This window comes from Homo sapiens, chromosome 9, assembly GCF_000001405.40.
Source record: "Homo sapiens chromosome 9, GRCh38.p14 Primary Assembly".
Lineage (NCBI taxonomy): Eukaryota > Metazoa > Chordata > Mammalia > Primates > Hominidae > Homo > Homo sapiens.
In genome coordinates this window covers 72724026-72743093 of record NC_000009.12, presented here as the reverse complement: position 1 = coordinate 72743093, position 19068 = coordinate 72724026, and the positions used below count along the sequence as shown (strand labels likewise).

Here is a 19068-nt window from a genome sequence, read left to right as displayed (position 1 = left end):
GCCCGGCCTTTTGTACTTTTAGTAGAGACGGGGATTCACCACGCTGGCCAGGCTGGTCTCGAACTCCTGACCTCAAGTGATCTGCACACCTCAACCTCCCAAAGTGCTGGGATTACAGGCGTGAACCACTGCGCCCAGACTAAGACTTCTTCACTTGTTAAAACATTGTTCATTTTGATTACTGTCTAACATTCATGAGAGTATATATTCTCAATGTCATGTTCATTGCCAAAATAAAATCTCTGCCTTCCAAGTAAGATGATTCAATGTCATTGTGCACAATAGTGACTTCCCTGTATAGGAGAGAAAACCAGGTTAGAATGGTAATGTTTTGGACTAAGGTAGAACACGAGAGTGGGGTCCCCAGTATTGTCCTTGGTAAGTGCTAGCAAATCTTCACAGTGACGAAAGCAGGCATAAACAAAGTTTTTGTTGATTTGGTTTTTGTTTGTTTGTTTGTTTGTTTCTAGTCTTCCCAAAAGTCCAGAAACTGACAAAGGCATCTGATAAGCTTATGAGATACTTCTCTAAGACAACCTTCTCCACCTGAGATCTGATAAGGACTTACTTTCAATAGCCTTGATTTTATTTTCCCATGGGACACACGCAGCTTTGAAGTTCTCAAAATCACGGAGGAATTTTGCCCATTTCTGAAAAGAAAGTCAAATACAAAAGTAAAGTCCAACCTCTTGATTTGTCAAGATGTTTATCCCCCACCTCAAAACATTACAATGCAGTAAGCTTGGAAATGTCTCTCTGGCAGCAAATACTACTTTCTAGTCAAAGGGGGAAACAGTAGGTTTCACTTGTTTCCCTGTTCTCCACTAACCCCAGACCAATTTAATTCAACAAAAAAATGTTTATCGATCCCCTGTTTTATGGAAAATATGCTGGCCTCTCAGAAACAGCTATTTATTATATAACACAATAAGAAAGCAGGGGATTAGCACATAATAGGGTGATTGGAACAGAGTATGTGTTTAATTAGTTTTCATTGTATGAAGGACTCAATATGAATAATTAAATAAAATAAATAATAAAAATAATAAACAAAATAAATTTTATTTTCTGTCTTTTATTTCCAGGTCCTGTCTTGAAAGCCTTCTGATCTACCAGGATAGTCTGTGTACAAATAGGTGAGTTCAATACAAGATGGTAAGTTGTATGACATGAGACACTGCATTCTGGTAGAGGCAGATTGGTCAGCTTAATTGAAAGAGAAGACAACAAGTCATAAAATCATTTTGCAAAAGGCCTTCTTTCTATTTAACTCCAATGTTGGGTCATCCATAGTCAAGAGGACCACCAGGAAGAATGAGAATGTGGCAGAGAATTTTGCATGTATGCAAATGCTGGGATGAAGTGGGAGCTGGACAGGCACTATTGTCTAAATAATAGCATGAGACAAGTCTGAAGTTCAAAAGATCACCCACGCTTTTTTTCCCATCTGCCTTCTGCAGTGGAACCACCACCAAAACACAGATTTTCTTTAAAAACCCTTATGGGAAAGACCATCACTCTGGAGTTTGAACCCTTGGATACAATAGAAAATGCGAAGTCCAAGATCTAGGATAAGACAGGAATTTCTACTGATCAGCAAAGACTGATCTTTGTTGGCAAGAAACTGGAAGATGGATGTGCTTTGTCTGGGTACAACATTCAAAAGGAGTCTACTCTTCATCTTGTGTTGAGACTTCATGGTGGTGCTAAGAAAAGGAAGAAGTCTTACACCACTCCAAAGAAGAATAAGCATAAGAAAAGGAAGGTTAAGCTGGCTGTCCTGAAATACTATAAGGTGGATGAAAATGGCAAAATTAGTCAACTTCATCAAGAATGCCCTTCAGATTAATGTATTGCTGGAGATTTTGTGGCCAGCCATTTTAACAGTCATTGTTGTAGCAAATGTCTGCATTATTGTTTCAACAAACCAGAAGACAAGTAATTGTGTATGAGTTAATTTTAAAAATGAACAAAAAAAAAAAAGATTACTCATAACTAGAAACAGCCCAAATGTCCATCTACAATAGAATGGGTAAATACATTGTCACAGCATCTTTATACAATAGACTACAACACATGAATAAAAATGAAGTATAACTCCCACAACAACGTGGATATATCTTGTGAACATAACATTGCATCAAAGAAGCCAGAAACAAATGCATAGATACTATATGATTCAATTTATTTAAACTGTAGAAACAGACAAAATTAATCTATTGTATGTGAGTATATATATATATGAAAGTTAGGATATATGAACTTTATTCACAAAACTTTATGGGAATACATTTAGCTTACAGTTGGTATAACATTTGTAAAGAGGAGATAATAATATCTATGTTCCTACTTTACTGTAAGAATTAAATATAACTTTATAAAAGAATTCAATTCAGTGCTTGGCACATAGTAAGTGTTAAATAAATGTTAGTTGCTTTTCTGTCTTTCCCCAAAATCTATATTTGTATCAGTATATCATTTATTGTTTTCTTATTTTCTGTCCAATGTATAGTTGATGTTCCTGGTAGAAAAAAACTATACAGATACTTTGAGAAAAACAACTTGACCAGAACCCCTTCACTTCCAGAGAATGAAAATGAAAAAGGATGCAATCTTTTATATTTGGAAGTGCTAAAGTCACACAAGTAAGTCTTTTGCCATAAATCTGTATTTCTTGACTTATTTTTCATTTTAACTCTTCTAAGAACAATTTTTTAAATCTCCCCTGTAAATTTCAATACCACAGATATACTGTGTATATACTGTATGAGTATTTGTGTTTTATATATACAAAATGTAAGATTTTTTTCACCCCTTTAGAAAAGAACCAGTGTTCTTCTTAGAGGCAATATGCCATAAACCAGACAACTATAAAAATACCTACCTTGGCCATCATCATCTTAAATGCAAACCACCGTTTTCCTTTTCCTTTCCCAAGAGCCCCTTCATTTTCACTCACAAATTTTTTTGCCTCCCTGAGAAAATAAAAATAACATAAGGGATAAAAGGAGGTGAGTTGCAATGACTAGAATACAGAAGTAGTGGACATTTGAATTTACCAGGTCTGCAGTCTTATTTCTTCTAGATCCTTCACAGGTGAACCTAGACTGTATTTCATAACCTAGAAATTTTCAATCCATGTTTAAATTTTTAAATGCTGACCAGGAAGAGTAAGATATTTTAGTCTCACTTACTAATCAGCTGGAATCACTGAAAGGGAATTGATGCTAAATGTCAAAATAGAGAACACTAGTTCTTTTCATTTCTATCAAGTGTAGAATTGAACCTGAAGTTTACATCACATTCTGGCAGTCAAATGTTTATTTTAAAATACTTCCTCTTCTTCTTTTTAAAGAATTCCTTTAGAAAAAAGAAAAGGGCAGAGAGGTTAGGTCAAACTGACATAGAACACACTTAATGACCTGGTACTTAATCCTGTAAAAAAAAAGCAATTATGACTTAAAACAGAAAAATCATTCTGTAAAGTAAATGGGGTTGAGAAGAGAAAGAGAGAGAAAAGGAATACTTTCGGCCTCACATTTAGAAAGGGCTTTAAATGTAAACTTTAACATTACTCCCAAATATTTATACATTTACAGCAGTTGCATTAGTTTCTTTGGTATGCATAATAAAAAACATTAATTCATCAAAACATAATGCAAGCATGCTACATACACTATAATTTTTGTAACCTTATTTGATCATTGTTATAGACTGAATGTTTTTGTCCCTATCAAAATCTGTATGTTGAAATCTAATCTCCAACATGATGGTATTTGGAGGTGGGGTATTTAGGAGGTAATTGGCCATGGGGGTAGAACCCTCATGAATGGAATTAGTGCCCTTGTAAGTAGTGGCCAGAGAGCTAGCTAGCCCTGCTTCCACTACATGAAGACACAAGGAGCCAGCCATCTGCAACCTGGGAGAAGGCCCTTGCCAGAGCCCGACCATGCTGGCACTTCGATTTTAGACTTTCAGCCTCTAGCACTGTGAGAAATAAATGGCTGTTGTTTAAGCCACCCGGTCTATGGCCATTTGTTCTATCAGCTTGAACTGACTGGGACAGTCATTTTTGTTGTTTGTTTGAAAAACAATTTACCAAAAAAAAATTTACAAAAAAGAAAATTACAAATAGAGGCAATCCAGGCTTGTCTTCAGCTCTCGGGGGCTGCAGAACATATAGTTTAAGTGATGGAGTAGCCTCTGTCATGATAGAAACAGATAACCCAAGCCTGGATTGTGGTTCCACAAGTGCAATGCTGTCCTCAGTTGGATGGCTCCTGGAATATGTGGTTTTACAGAAAAGACCCTTCAACATATGACTATAATTAAACTCCTATTAACATATAAAGTCAACTTTTAAAAATGAAGGGTCTGGCTAGGCACAGTGGCTCATACCTGTAATCCCAGCACTTTGGGAAGCCAAGGTGGGTGGATCACTTGAGGTCAGGAGTTCGAGACCACCCTGGCCAACATGGTGAAACCCTGCCTCTACTAAAAATACAAAAATCGACCAGGCGTGGTGGTGTGTACCTGTAGTCCCAGCTACTGGGGAAGCTGAGGCAGGAGGATCACTTGAACCTGGGAGGCGGAGGTTGCAGTGAGCTGTGATTGTGCCACTGCATTCTAGCCTGGGGCAACAGAGTGAGATTCTGTTTCAAAAAGAAAAAAAAAAGAAGGGTCAGTGGGGAATTTTTTCTGTAAGATGTTCCTTAGTATCAGTGCCAAACTCAGAATTTTGCAATACACAGTGACCAAAAAAACAGCACACACCTGCTAACTTAACTAATACTAGGGAGTGGGGCCTCATTACTCACCTGTACATGTGCACCCACCCATATTCTGGCATAAAAATATAGGCACAGTGGTAAAGACTCTCTTCGGTCATCAAACAGAACTCCCAAATCAGTTTCCTGATAGCGGACACAATATCTTGTCTTGTTGTAACTTCCATAGCATTGACCATTGCATTGACCACAGGGAGTGTTTAATAAATGTAAACCTTCTAGAAATAGAGCTGATTGACATAGTTTGGGGTAGATGTAGACAAGGGAGTATCTAATAATTTTATTTTCCACAATAATTAATGCTTGAAAGCAAAGTCATTCCCAGACTTTGGGATTGCACCCTTTATCATTAATCTTCTCTGAAACTCAATTGATAGACTAGATTGGCCTTGTTGTCAAACACCCTGACATTTGACATGACCTCTGTGCTGGTAAAATTAGTTGAAAAACAATTTCTAAAACCTTTTGCACATTCTAAAATATCCAATAAAGCAATGGCAAAAATTAAAAACTAAGTTCTCATGGCTGGGTTTTTAGATCCATGCAATGAAGAAAACACATCCTGTCTAAGCATTAACAATGTCTTTTAGAGGTGATAAGACAGGAGGGAGGGTGGCAGCCAGCAGGCACTTTCTAAAATGGTGAACTGAAGCCTCTAAGCAGAAAATCAAGCAAGTTGGGTTCTAATCCAGTCTCTGGGATCTGTCTCTATGACCTTGCCCATGTTTCTGATGCTCTTTGTCCCACATACATGAGTGTCTGATTTTTCAGAGGAAAGCAAACCTGACTCAGACTCACACAGACCTAGGCAAGGTCTGACACAGGTTTCCTCAGTAACTGTGTGGCTTTTAATAGGTCAAGATTTCCCAGAAAACAAACAAATGGTCAGGCAATCGCACCCCTGCTTGCTAAGATGGTGGCAAGAACAAGGTGGGATCATAGATGTGAACGTGTTGAAGGGATTATTACACAGTCAATTCTACGGCAATGCCGGTTTTGAAACCGTGACCTTGTTCTAACATGATTGATATATTACGGAACAATTTGATCACAACACAAGTCTGGGATTTGCTTATATGTGATTCTATCCACAAGAAACGCCAGGTAAATGCAGAAAACTGCACCCAGCTAAACCAAGCAGCGTAGGAATACACAAAATCCACATACCATATCCATCAGCTACCACACTTCCCCACACAGGTAGAAAAGCCCCACCTGCTCACAACTGGGACAACAACGACTCTCCTCCCAACACTTCTCAAAAACTCACAAGCTGCACCCTTTTGAAGGCCAACTTCCACAGGGAACGTTAGGTCTTTTTCAAAGTAAACTGCCATATTTATTGTAAATTTCTTAACCATTAACATGTGTAAAATATTGCTGTCATTGTTACTAAATTCCCATATTTTTTGTAATGTGCCACTAGTGATATTTCTAGGTATTGTGTGCCTATCCCCATTTTTTTAGTAAAATGTGTTTTTATTGCCCAATTTTGCATAGTGTCGGGATTTTTAGGAACCCATACATCATGTTACGGCAGAATTTACTATACTTCAGTTATTTGGCATCAAGAATTTTGAAATTCACAAAACTAAGTATACATAGGAGTTATCATATTAATCTCTAGAATAATGAACACATATAAATAGAGAAATGGAAATTCTTCTTAGTAGTAAAATTAAAATTTGTTTTTCATATGTAATAAAGTGCTCACTTTCAGGACATCTCCACTGCTCTAGTTATTTAACAGATAATTTAAAAGACATCCAGTTTTGCTTATTAGATTTATATCACTTTCTAGATAAGTGGTCAATTCGAAAGCACAACTTTGTTCTAAAAAGGATGTAAAGAAATAGCTACTCCATATTTCTACCAAGATTTTTAATTTTGTGAGCTCGTGAACATTAAACTAGCAAAACTTAAGAAACAGAGAAGGAAGCCAAGGTAACAGTCAAATTAAAATCAGTACAAAATTAATTATAAACTCAGTTAATAATATAAAACCCTGTCTACATGGCATTAATAAAGTTTTTGTCAGATGTTATAAATATCATTTTCCTTTGAACAATATAAACAAGTTTTATTTTTGTCTCTTCAATTACTGTTAGTTTTCCTTGACGCTAGGTATAGTTTCATATTTCTCTTTCAATTACTACCCCGCCCTAGCCTCAACATATATATCTTAGATTCTGGTTTTTAAACAAAGTCCAGACTCTATTATCTATTACATAATCTCAGGTATGAATTTCTTTTCTTCTCTAATGCTCTATCCCCTCCTTCATTCTCTGAGAGATCCCTGCCAGCACCCCCACCAAGTTTTATACCAAAGAGGTCCCTGAACAGCCATTTTAGCTAATCCCTGCTCCCCATAGCCCACTGAAGACAGAATTACTAGACTCAACTCATCAGATATGTTGGGGATGGGTTTAAAATAAAGCCAGGGGGCAGAAGGTGGACCAAGAATATTTGTTTAGCAAGAAGAGATTCTTCATTCCCCCATATCTGATGCTCATAGGATGTAAGAAAGTACTCTTGCAGGTGACAGGCCTTCAAGAAGGGACATTGGGCTGCAAGGTATCAGAGACTCAAGGAGAGGGCATGCCTTAATACTATTTTGAGGGCTGACCTTTGCAATGAGCTGGCATGATTTCAGGATGGAAAAAAACTAGTATCACCCAATTCTATCCTCCTTGATAACGTATTTCTTAACCAGAAAACATATTTCATTGTACAATTAGAAAGAAGATACAAAAACAAATCTCATATGAAGATAAACATTGATCAATACAGAACAGTGAAGTGTCCATGACAGATAGCAGAATCTAAGAAAATAAAGAACAGTCTTTAGAACACTAAGATGCAAGAAAACATCTTTACATGTATGATTTTCTACAGCTAATCCATTCTCCTACTCATTTGTATTTATCTGAATAAATTAAAGAGATTTTTCTACATGGTTAAAATGAAATAGGCTTTTGTGGATAAACTTTGAATATCTGTTGGCCTCAAACCATCCAAATGTCTGACTGAAACAAATGTGTACCACCCCCTTGAATTGCATTCAACAAAAGCCACCTGCCAAGACTGTAATCTGGTCTTCAGGTCTCAGAGCTGAAGCAAACCGTGCTACAATATGCACAGCTCTCTGAGCTGTAACCCCAGACTCATTGATAAATAATTGAGCGAGGTCTATTTAATGACAATAATACCTGGCCTCATCATTCATTTATCAATCCGTTGTGTTGGTAATTAGAATAATAAGGTTTCATGGTCTTTCAAGAATGCTTTCACAGTTAGTTGAAGAAGCACACACTGGACTAACTTACAGAATAGATAATTTACCCATAACACATGATACAACCACGATTACACAGAAGTGTTAGGTCATGCTATGCTGCCTTTGACACATTCTCATCCCAGGAAACATGTTCCCCTTTTGGGTTAGGTTAGGTTGACTTTCCTTTCCTCTTGTTTTCAATTTGATAGTATGATTGAGCAACAAATTTATTGCTCAAGCAAATGAAAGACATTTCAAAACTGGTGTTTAGGCAACTGTAATCAAAACTTGTACTTTCTAGCTGTTTCCAGTGAAGGGACCAGAAGAATGAAAAGTCTTTTCATAACAAACACTGCCATCTAAAAGAATTTAACCAATAGTCCAGAGAATCTGGCTTCTCATGAAATATTACTGTGGGAGTGAGTTACAGAGGTAAGAAGCTACTCGAAGGTACAAAGATTAAAAATAAGAACTAGAGGCCTCCTAGATAATATAACTTCATAGTTAGGCTGGTAGAATTATTGAAAATCATCCCAAATACTGGAAGTGATTATTCAAAACACATTTTTTTCCTAAGGCAAATGCTGATGGCAGTAGCTGGAATGGTTAAGATGCCCAGTTGCTTCATCTGTAAAATGGAGATAATAGTAGCTACTCTGTAGGATTGTCACATCCATTATAGAAAATAATGTATGTAATGTGTTTAGCTTAGTCCATGGCAAATAGCAAGAGCAGTATAAGCAGTAACTATTACAGTAGTTCCCCCTTATCTGCAGTTTTGCCTTCCACAGTTTGTTACAAGTAGTCAACTGCAGTCCAAAAATATTTAATGGAAAATTCCAGAAATAAACAATTCATAAGTTTTAAATTGTGTGCTGTCCTGAGTAGCATGATGAAATCTCATGCCATCCTGTGCTGTCCAGCCTGGGAAGTGAATCTTCCCTTTGTTCAGCAAATCCACACAGTCTGCACTCTCCTCCTGTTAGTAGCCCTCTGGGTTCTCAGATTGACTGTCACAGTATCACAATGCTTATGTTCCAGTAACCCTTATTCTACTTAATAATGCCCCCAAAGCATAAGTTTAGTGATGCTGGCAATTTGGATATGCCAAAGAGAAGCCACAAAGTGCCTCCTTTAAGTGAATAAGGGAAAGTTCTCAACCTAATGAGGGCAGAAAAAAAAAAGTATGCTGAGGTTGCTAAGATCTATGGTAAGACGTCTTCTCTTCCTGAAATTGTGAAGAAGGGAAAAGAAATTCTTGCTAGTTTTTCTGTTGTACTTCAAACTGCAAAAGTTATGGCCACAGTGTGTGATAAGTGGTTAGTTAAGATAGAAAAGGCATTAAATGTGTGGTGGAAGACATAAACAGGAATATGTTCTGATTGACAGCAATCAGGTTCAGTAGTATCCTTGGTTTTAGGAATCCACGGGGAGCCTTGGAAGGTATTCCCCTCTGATAAGGGTGGACGGCTGTATAAGCAGCAATACTACTAACAGGGCTGACTTCAGTTTTTATGCTGAATCTCCAAACTACAAAGTTAAGAAATAACTAGGTACTTCCAGGCAAAACCCTAGCCCATTTCCCCTCAGACTGTTACCCCATTGAAAGTGGGAATTGTTCTTGTTAGTAAGTGAGCATGAGAGGATTCAACCCTCCATTTGAGACCCAAGGAGAGGGCCCAGGTGTTGGGCTTCAGAAGCCCCAGTTATGACACCGCCTGGGAGGAGGCAGTCAGGAATTCTATCCTGAGCCCTGACCCAGCCATGCTGTGCTGCTGTAGAGAGCTCGGGCCCCTGGGAATCTCTCTCTCTCTATCTCTCTCAATTTCTCTTTCTCTCCAAGCAGAAGATAATCTGTAGATATCCAACTGTGTTTTCTCTCAAAACTCTGCACATGTTCTCTGTAGCACTAAATTGTAAAATGTTACACTTGGACAACATCGTATTAAATTCTGTGATCCCTATCTCATGTCATAATTGGGACAGGGGTTTGAATCCTGGCTCTGTCACACACCAGGTGTGTGATTTGGGGAGAGTTATTAAATGCCTTTGATCCAGTTTCCTGACTTGTAAAATGGGACCAGCAACAGTGACGGCAGCAAGAGCTAAAGCACACTGAGTGTTGGCCATCTGCCAGGCACTATTCGTGTCCATCATCTCACTTCATCCCCTCAAAATCTTGAAAGGTGGGAACCATTATTATCCCCATCTCAGAGATAAGGAAACTGAGGATTCGCTAAGTAAAATAAGTATCCAAGGTCACCTAGTAAGTAGCACAGCTCTACTCTTTTTGAGCTCAGTGCTCCCAGTTTCCCCAGGATAACACCAGTGTTACCTCATGGAATTGGAATAAGGACATACATACAAAAGTTGAAACAGTGTAAGCAAAGCAGTACCTGGCACACCAGGTAAATGATGCTTTTAGTTATTATCCAAAGATATTTATCTTTTTTTTTTTTTTTTTGAGACAGAGACTCACTCTGTCTGCCCAGGCTGGAGTGCAGTGGTGCAATCTTGGCTCAAATCAACCTCTGCCTCCTGGGTTCAAGAGATTCTCATGTCTCAGCCTCCCAAGTAGCTAAGACTACAGGCTTGTGCCACTACACCCAGCTAGTTTTTGTGTATTTTTAGTAGAAACAGGGTTTCACCCTTTTGGCCAGGCTGTTTTCGAACTCCTGACCTCAAGTGATCCGCCCACCTTGGCCTCTCAAAGTGCTGGGATTATAGGTGTCAGCCACCTTGCCCAGCTGATATTTATTATTTTTCATAGCAAATGTTGATGATACAATGTCAAGTAAAATTTCAGAATACAGAACAATTTGTATACTCTCATTATAATTATGTAAAAGTAGTGTGCATCAATGATCAAAGACTAGGCAATTATGCAAATGCTTGGTTTCTCCATTTTCCAAACTCATTATATTATTGTCATTCAGTTTTGTTATCAGTAATAAAAATAAATTTTGTTTATTTTAAGGCATTGTACCATATGCAGAAAGAGAGATAAAGGAATGTGGTCCTATGCTTTTCTGTAAGGAATTTACAATTTCATTAAAAAGTAAAGATATAGATAAATATTTAGGGCACCATCTAATTACCAACAAACAAGAATAGTAAAAGTAAACATAAATGCTAAAAGATTGAGATGAGAGATGGAGTGGTATCAAGGAACCCTGAACAAAGGGAGGATTCAGTTACATGGTCAAAGGAGTAGGAGGGACATTCTGGTGCAGGGGAATGATATAAGCAAAAATGAAGAGATGAAAACATACCTGGGGTCTTCAGATAGACAATGAAGAGGACAGTTTAAATGCTTTAGAGGAGGATCTGGCATGCCCTAATGTCACGTCTGCAGTGCAGAATTCATTCTGTTATTAGTAAGGATCCAGAGTATTTTTGAGCAGGAAATTGATGGGTGTAATACAGTGCTGTGAGAAAAATGTTTCAACAATGATATACAAGATAAGTTAGAGAAAACATAAGATGAGAGGCTGGCTGCAAGTTGATTTCTAATGCATCCAGGCTTTTACATATGCTGTTTCATTTCTCTAAGATACCCTTTCTCTTCTCCTACACCTATTTTCTTCCTTTTCTTTATCTTCAGTTCTAGAGTTAGGCCAACACTACAGCTTCTCCACAAAACCTTTCCTGATCCTTTCTTTCTTTCCAACAATCTCCTCCACCCCCTAGGTAGTGTGACTTAACCTCTGACCTTTCTGCAGTAGTTATCCCAGTGTGTTGCTTTCTAGTCCATTTTTACCATTGCACTGGAATCTCCAAGGTCTATATTTTTTGTACTAATTTCCCAGTACTTAATATAGCACCTGGCATAGATGTGAATTTCAACATATGCTAATTGAATGAATGGACATCAGTGAGAAGACCAGATGACTGTCAGGTCGTGGCCACTGGCACAGATATGGGTTTAGCACCTGGCATAGATGTGAATTTCAACAAATGCTAATTGAACAAATGAATACCAGTGAGAAGACCAGATGATTGTCAGGAACCAGGCCACACAGCAGGCAAGTGGTGGGCGAGTGAGTGAAGCTTCATCTGTATTTACAGCCACTACCCATTGCTAACTCATATTACCACCTGAGCTCCTCCTGCTGTCAGATCAGCAGTCACATTAGATTTTCATAGGGGTGCAAACCCTATTGTGAACTGCACATGCGAGAGATCTAGGTTGTGAACTCCTTATGAGAATCTAATTCCTGATGATCTGTCACTGTGTCCCATCACCCCCAGATGGGATCGTATAGTTGCAGGAAAACAAGCTCAGGGCTCCCACTGATTCCACATTATGGTGAGTTGTATAATTATTTCATTATATATTACAATGTGCAGAATAAATGTAATGCACTTGAATCATCCTGAAACCATCTCCTCACCCAGCCCCAGTATATGGAAAAATTGTCATCCATGACACTGGTCCCTGGTATCAGAAAGGTTGGGGACAGCTAAATTAAGTCACAATCTCTAGGGCTGGGATATGGCATCAATATTTTTGTAAGTCCATGAACAATTCCAATGTGCAACAAGTTGGGGGCAGAATATGGAACTGTTGGGCTCAGAAAATGATATCCTGAATGTGCTGCTTTGGCATGCCGAGCACCTTGAACTAAAGGACACTGGAAGGCCTCAGTAGCAGCATCAGAGCCAAGGTCTCTCTGACCTTCTCCTGCTCTCCTACCTCTCACCCCTTGTTCTTCCCCAAAACCAGCCATAGAATTCAGAATTCCCCTTCCCCAGGGCAGGCCGTAGAAACTAAAACCCCCTTTTCCCCAAAGCCGGCCATAAAAACAAGAATTATTACTCTAACCTTCTCTACCTTTCTGTCTAGAAGGTGGCCATAAAGAAATTCTATGACCTAGTCTTGGTCAACAGTAGGTCAAGGGAGGAAGAAACACTCTCATGTTTGTTGCTGACAAAAATTGTAGTCTTTGTAATCAAAATATATATATTTTATCTATGAAGTAGTACTGTCTAAAAGGAACTATACCAAATAAGCCAGGAGGGTGAAGAGATGTTACAACAGTGAGGCCAAGAAGAATCTGGACAGGTATTGCTGGGTTTCCCCACTCAGTTCATTACTATTAGATAATTCCCTGTTTGTCTAATAACACTTCTACATGGCTGTTCACACTTTATTGAATCTAAGCATAAAAATGGACAGTTTTTCCTTGGGTCTTCAAATCTTCATTCTGAAGGCTTCCATGTCATATAAAACTTTGGTTAAAGAAATGTGTTATGTTTTTCTCTTGTGAACCCTCTTTCATTAGAGAAGTGTTGTCCTTGACCTTATGATAGGGACAAAGTATCACATCTTTCTGCCCCTGCAGAACTAAACAAATTTTATTTACTGAGACTACTAAATTTAAGAGGTAAAGAACTCTTAAATTTAGCATGTTGGCCTAGCAATTATTGGAAGATTGGGCTAAAAAGCTACTATATTATATATAATTGTTTTGTTGTCTCCCTGAACTGGCAGTAAGTACTCTGCATGTTTTGATACTTGATAATTGCCTTTGGTAAATAACTACTTTTCATGTCCATACTTTATTTTACATCTCTAAAGAGTAACTACCTGACTATCTGAAAACAAGCAGTAAATAAACTAAGAACAAGCAAAAAGAGAATTGCATGTACATTTTCATAACCTCTTAACTTTTATGTCTGACGTATTTTGGTATAGTTCCTTTTGGATAGTACCACTTTACAGGTAAAATATATATTTTTTAGATTACTAAGACCTCTAAAATTTTTATTAGCAACAAACATGAGAGTGACCTATGTACAAAAATTTCTTAAGGGAATTTTTTTTCTCTAGTTCTGATGATACTCATGAAGATGTGTTAAAGCCAGATGCTGGTGTTAGTGAATAATTAAAGCAAGTCTTGGACAGGTCAAATTTGTATGAAATTCCAAGTTACAGCCACAGAAATTCTTCAGACTCAGGATGACTTCTTTGCTCCCTGGAGCTCTAAACCAATGCTAATTTTCATGGCTGGCTTAAATGTCAAATAAAGACTCAAACACATTTTAGTCACACCCTAGAGGTCATGCCAGCATCTTAGGGTAATTTTAGATGAAACAAGGTAAAAATAACAAGCTGGGCTTTAGTGGATTAATGAAAAATTTAAAAATAAAAGCACACTAGATCCTTTTTCTACCTGCTGATTAAAACTTTTCCTAACTCTGATTTGTACTTGATTGCTTTAAGATTCAATTTATGGTTTAAACATTCTTTTTGTTAGTATTACAGTAGCAGGGAGAAGAGAGAGGAGACCACACAGGTTTCCCCAGGAGCTACAATACTGGTCACAGCACAAACTGTGTTTTCCTCACAGAAGGAAACCAAAATTTGGGAGGTTGTACTATTATCTGCTAAGATAATAGAAGGGTAGAGACAATTTGGAGGGTAGCAGAATATGGCACCCCAAAATATGCCATGTCAGGATTATGTGCCATATTATGCCAAAATGTGCCAAAAATATGGTATAAAGATTATTTCAAGATGAAAGCAATCAAGAAGCAGCAGATACAAGAAAAGCTCTCTGCTCTCCCCCTTTGCCTAAAAGCAGGAGATAAATATATAAAGGTATTATTTTCATTCCCCTCTTACCTGGAAGGACAGAAGTTAATCACTGAAGACTATTCCAGACTTATCAGTCAAGAGAGGGCACCAGAGGAATCTGCATGACAAGCTTTACTAAATAGTCCTTATTTTCCATTAGTTCCCCCATATATTTGCTTTCCCATCATTTGCCATCCTAGAAACTCAAAGTCCTTTTCCTTTGTCTTGTCACTTCTTTAAAAATGTACTGTTCTTTTGTTAAGATGCTATGTGAGCTCAAGTTCTAACCTCCTCTTTCAGTTACTCATCTCCCATGAATAAGAGGGATATACATGGTAATAAACTTCTGCTTGTTTTTCTCTTGTTAATCTGTCTTTTGTCAGTCTGACTTACAAGGCTCCAACCAATAAATCTAAAATTGATGGAGGGAAAAAGAATTTTACACAATTTACAACCAAATTATTGTAAAGAATTCTTTTTTAGTGTGAAGCATTTTATAATGGTAACTTTATAAATGTCTCTCTGGATAGTCTCTTTAAGCTCTATGAAAATGATTTTATGTTTGTTTATTTTTTTGTCCTTTGTTTTAATGAATCAGTTGAGCATGTTATTAGCAACACTAATACCTGAAGGTAGGGATAGTATTATGTAGGCTGCAGAGTTCCAGGCCATATCACTAAGGCATCCCAGCTTACTCTTACTGTTCTTGTGTTGAGCAAAAATGAGATTTGGGGAGAATGTGACCTAAAACACACAAATGAATCTTAAAATCACCAGCCCAAGAATAAGAAGGAAACTCTGTCTAAAACCATATCTCAACAATTCTAATCACCAAAATGTTGCAAAATGGTGGAATTTCCCCTTGCCCCTTTACTGTGGGAATATTTTTATTAGAAGTAGGTAGAAATAGCACTGAAATTATAGATTGCTATACATAGCTATGAGGAGGACCCACCCAAAATTCTGGCTGATAAACAAATTCATTTTATTTCTATTATTCTTTCATTGTCCCTTTTACTTAGTCTTTTTTTTCTTTAAGTAATTACTGGGTATGTTTTATGTTCTTAATGTGTTAAGTGTTTAAAAGAAATCAAGGAAATATATGAATTCCTTTCTACAGCTTAAACTTTATTAAGAAAAATGAGATCTAGGCCCATGAAATAGTTACATAACAATGCAAGACAGCCTTGAAGTGAAAAGGGAGAGGACAATGGAGGCTTCAGAGTTGCTGAAGATATTGTAGATGAGATAAGAATTCAAATGGATGTTAAAGAGCTAATAGAATTCGAGTAGGCAGAGAGGGCATTCCAGGCATTGGTTTGCAGGAATTTATCTAACAAAGGAGACATTTCCACCATGAATCATACATATAATCTCATATTCTTAGATATACTAGCATTCAGCTCTTTGCAAGGCCATCTACGTGGCTTGATAGACAGACTGTGCTAATTTTGCTTGCCTCATGTGCATTCTAATCAAACATGTTCTAATGAATTCTGAATACTGTGAAACAGAAAAATTCACAAAGTGCTGCCCCATAGTGAGAAGAAGCATCCTGCATTGAAAGTGTAGGTAATGTGTTTCAACACAATACCTGTGTGCTTATATTCTTCTAAATGTTTCTAAGCATTATAACTGTTTTTTCAAAACATTTTTCAAAATGTTGTATAGTGATATTTAGAAGTGCTAAACCTAAATTTTTCTAATAGAAGTCTTTAGTTTTTCTCTTGGAATAGGGTATTCTATCTTTTGATCTATCAGTGGACAATAAATTTAAAATGATGCTTTTAAACGATGGCATTTCAGTGAGCTCTGCAAATCACTAGGACTACCAGGTAAATTTGATTGTTTGCCACATGACAAACTTAGACATGGAAGACTGTCCTAAGCAATTGGGGAACACAGCTTGGGTAAGTGCACCCTCAGAGGACACCATCTTCCTATGTGAACTGGCCTTTCTGCAGAATTAAGTTGTGTTAATATTTTACAGTGTCCTCCCATAGCCTCCCTTCTAACTTGTCCTGATCCCTGTGACCAAGCACTGGTCAAGAAACACAATAAGAGTGTATGCATAAAATGTAAAAGTTAATTCATCCAAAGAATCATGTATCATTATGTAGATATGAGTGCCTTTGTGTATTTATACATTATATGTACATGCACACATATATAAATATATAGGTAAACTTATGCATATATATTACAAAAGCATCATAAATACAACTATTTGAAATAAGTGATTCATACCATTTAAAAATTTCTAATTTTTATAACTATAAAAGGGAATCTTGGACCCCTTATATTTGAAATGTAAAACTATTCCCCTTTCCTCCTTTCACACGATTTGTTATGATATTTGTGATGGTTAATACTGAGTGTCAACTTGATTGGATTGAGGGGTACAAAGAATTAATCCTAGGCATGTCTGTGTGGGTACTGCCAAAAGAGATTAACATTTGAGGCCGGGCGTGGTGGCTCACGCCTGTAATCCCAGCACTTTGGGAGGCTGAGGCGGGTGGATCACGAGGTCAGGAGATCGAGACCATCCTGGCTAACACAGTGAAACCCTGTCTCTACTAAAAATACAAAAAATTAGCCGGGCATGGTGGCGGCCACCTGTAGTCCCAGGTACTCGGGAGGCTGAGGCAGGAGAATGGCTTGAACCCGGGAGGCAGAGCTTGCAGTTAGCCGAGATCGTGCCACTGCACTCCAGCCTGGGCGACAGAGCCAGACTCCGTCTCAAAAAAAAAGAGAGAGAGATTAACATTTGAGTCAGTGGGCTGGGGAAGGCAGATGCACCCTTAATCTGGTGGGCACAATCTAATCAGCTGCCAGTGACTATAAACCAAGCAGAAAAATCTGAAAATGAGAGACTGGCCTAGCCTCCCCGACAACATCTTTCTCCTGTGCTGGATGCTTCATGCCCTCGAATATCGGACTCCAAGTTCTTCAGTTTTGATTTTGGGACTGGCTCTCCTTGCTCCTCAGCTTGCAGACAGCCGTTGTGGAACCTTGTGATCATGTAAGTTAATACTTAATAAACTCCTGTATATATATGTACGCATGTGTGTGTGTATATACATATATATATATATATATATATATATATATATATATATATATACATACACACATAAAATGTGTGTGTGGGGGTATCCTATGAGTTGTCTAAGAGAACCCTAATACAATATTTGAATACAATGTATTTCAAAATTTATTTTAATATGTGCATTTTAATAAAGTTTAACTACTTTTATCTTATTTAAGCCCCCAAACTAGTATCTCACTTGCCATTGCTTGCTCATATACATAAACATGGCCACAAAAATGCCTTGATTGTTATCTTGTTACAAGCTTCATAAAACAGAAGGTTATCTCCACAAAAAGTACCTTACCTGAGATCTGGATAACTCTTCCCCAAAACAGCAAGGACACATTTCTCTGATTAATCTTATTTTGTGCTTATTAGGTGCATATTTGCTTTCCTTTTAGTGTTAATGTATTATGTCAAATGTATTTAAAAGCATTCCTAGATAATTTTATGATAATTAATGTATTTATCCTTTTAACTACCTTTCCAAAAAACATCATGGATAGTCTAATAAAAGTTGTGAAAATCAACTGTTACTGACAGCTAAAATTCTAAAGAGTACACATTTGATAAATCATTATCAAAAACTGTTAGGGGACAGGATGCCCTGGCAAGCTCAGAAAATTTAATGTGTCTTACTATATATAATATGTTGACTGATAATACCACAGAAAATAGGGTGCAATGAAATGTAACTAAGAAGATAATAGTAACCATGATTTATCTATCTAAAAAGAACTTCAGAAATTTTTTATATCTGATATTTATTATTATCATTTTATACTGTGCTACTAAAAAAAATCCCTGTTTATTTGAAGTTTAAGATTTCTATGGTTTGACTATGTCTCCTAAAGTTTATGTATTGGAAACTTAATTGCCATTGTAACAGTAGTAAGAGATGGGACCTTTAAGAGATAATTCGGCCATGAGGGCTCTATCCTCATGAATGTATTAATGTGGTTACCATGAGAGTGGGCTAGTATCACAGAGTAGGCTCCTGATAAAAAGATAAATACAGCCCCATTTCTCCCTGTCTCTCGTCCTTGCTCACCATGTGATGCCTTCCACCATTGGATGACCCTTGCCAGGTGCCAGTGTCATGCCTCTTGGACTTCCCAGCCTCCAGAACCATAAGCCCAATAAATTTCCTTTCTTTATATATTATCCAGTCTGTGATATTCTATTACAGCAGCAGGAAACTAAAACAAGGTTCTTTAAATTCTTGCTAATTAAATGTCCGTGGAAATTAGTGAATAAGATTGCCAAGAATATTGGAAAACATCTTTGAATATTATCATTTTAGACCCATTTTTTCCAATGACTAATATCCTTC

The 19068-nt window shown here is 37.4% G+C and overlaps 1 protein-coding gene and 1 pseudogene across 2 annotated transcripts in view; one reads left to right on the top strand and one right to left on the bottom strand.

Moving 5' to 3' along the window:
* Positions 1-19068, bottom strand: part of TMC1 (transmembrane channel like 1) — a 316690-nt gene that overhangs the window by 95204 nt on the left and 202418 nt on the right. For both annotated transcript variants that reach the window (NM_138691.3, XM_017014256.2), the window contains 2 exons: positions 2885-2975; positions 569-650 (listed from right to left, as the gene is read on the bottom strand). In NM_138691.3, coding sequence (NP_619636.2) covers positions 569-650; positions 2885-2975 — 173 coding nt within the window. The remainder of the gene's footprint in view (positions 1-568; positions 651-2884; positions 2976-19068) is intronic.
* Positions 1439-1974, top strand: RPS27AP15 (RPS27A pseudogene 15; annotated as a pseudogene).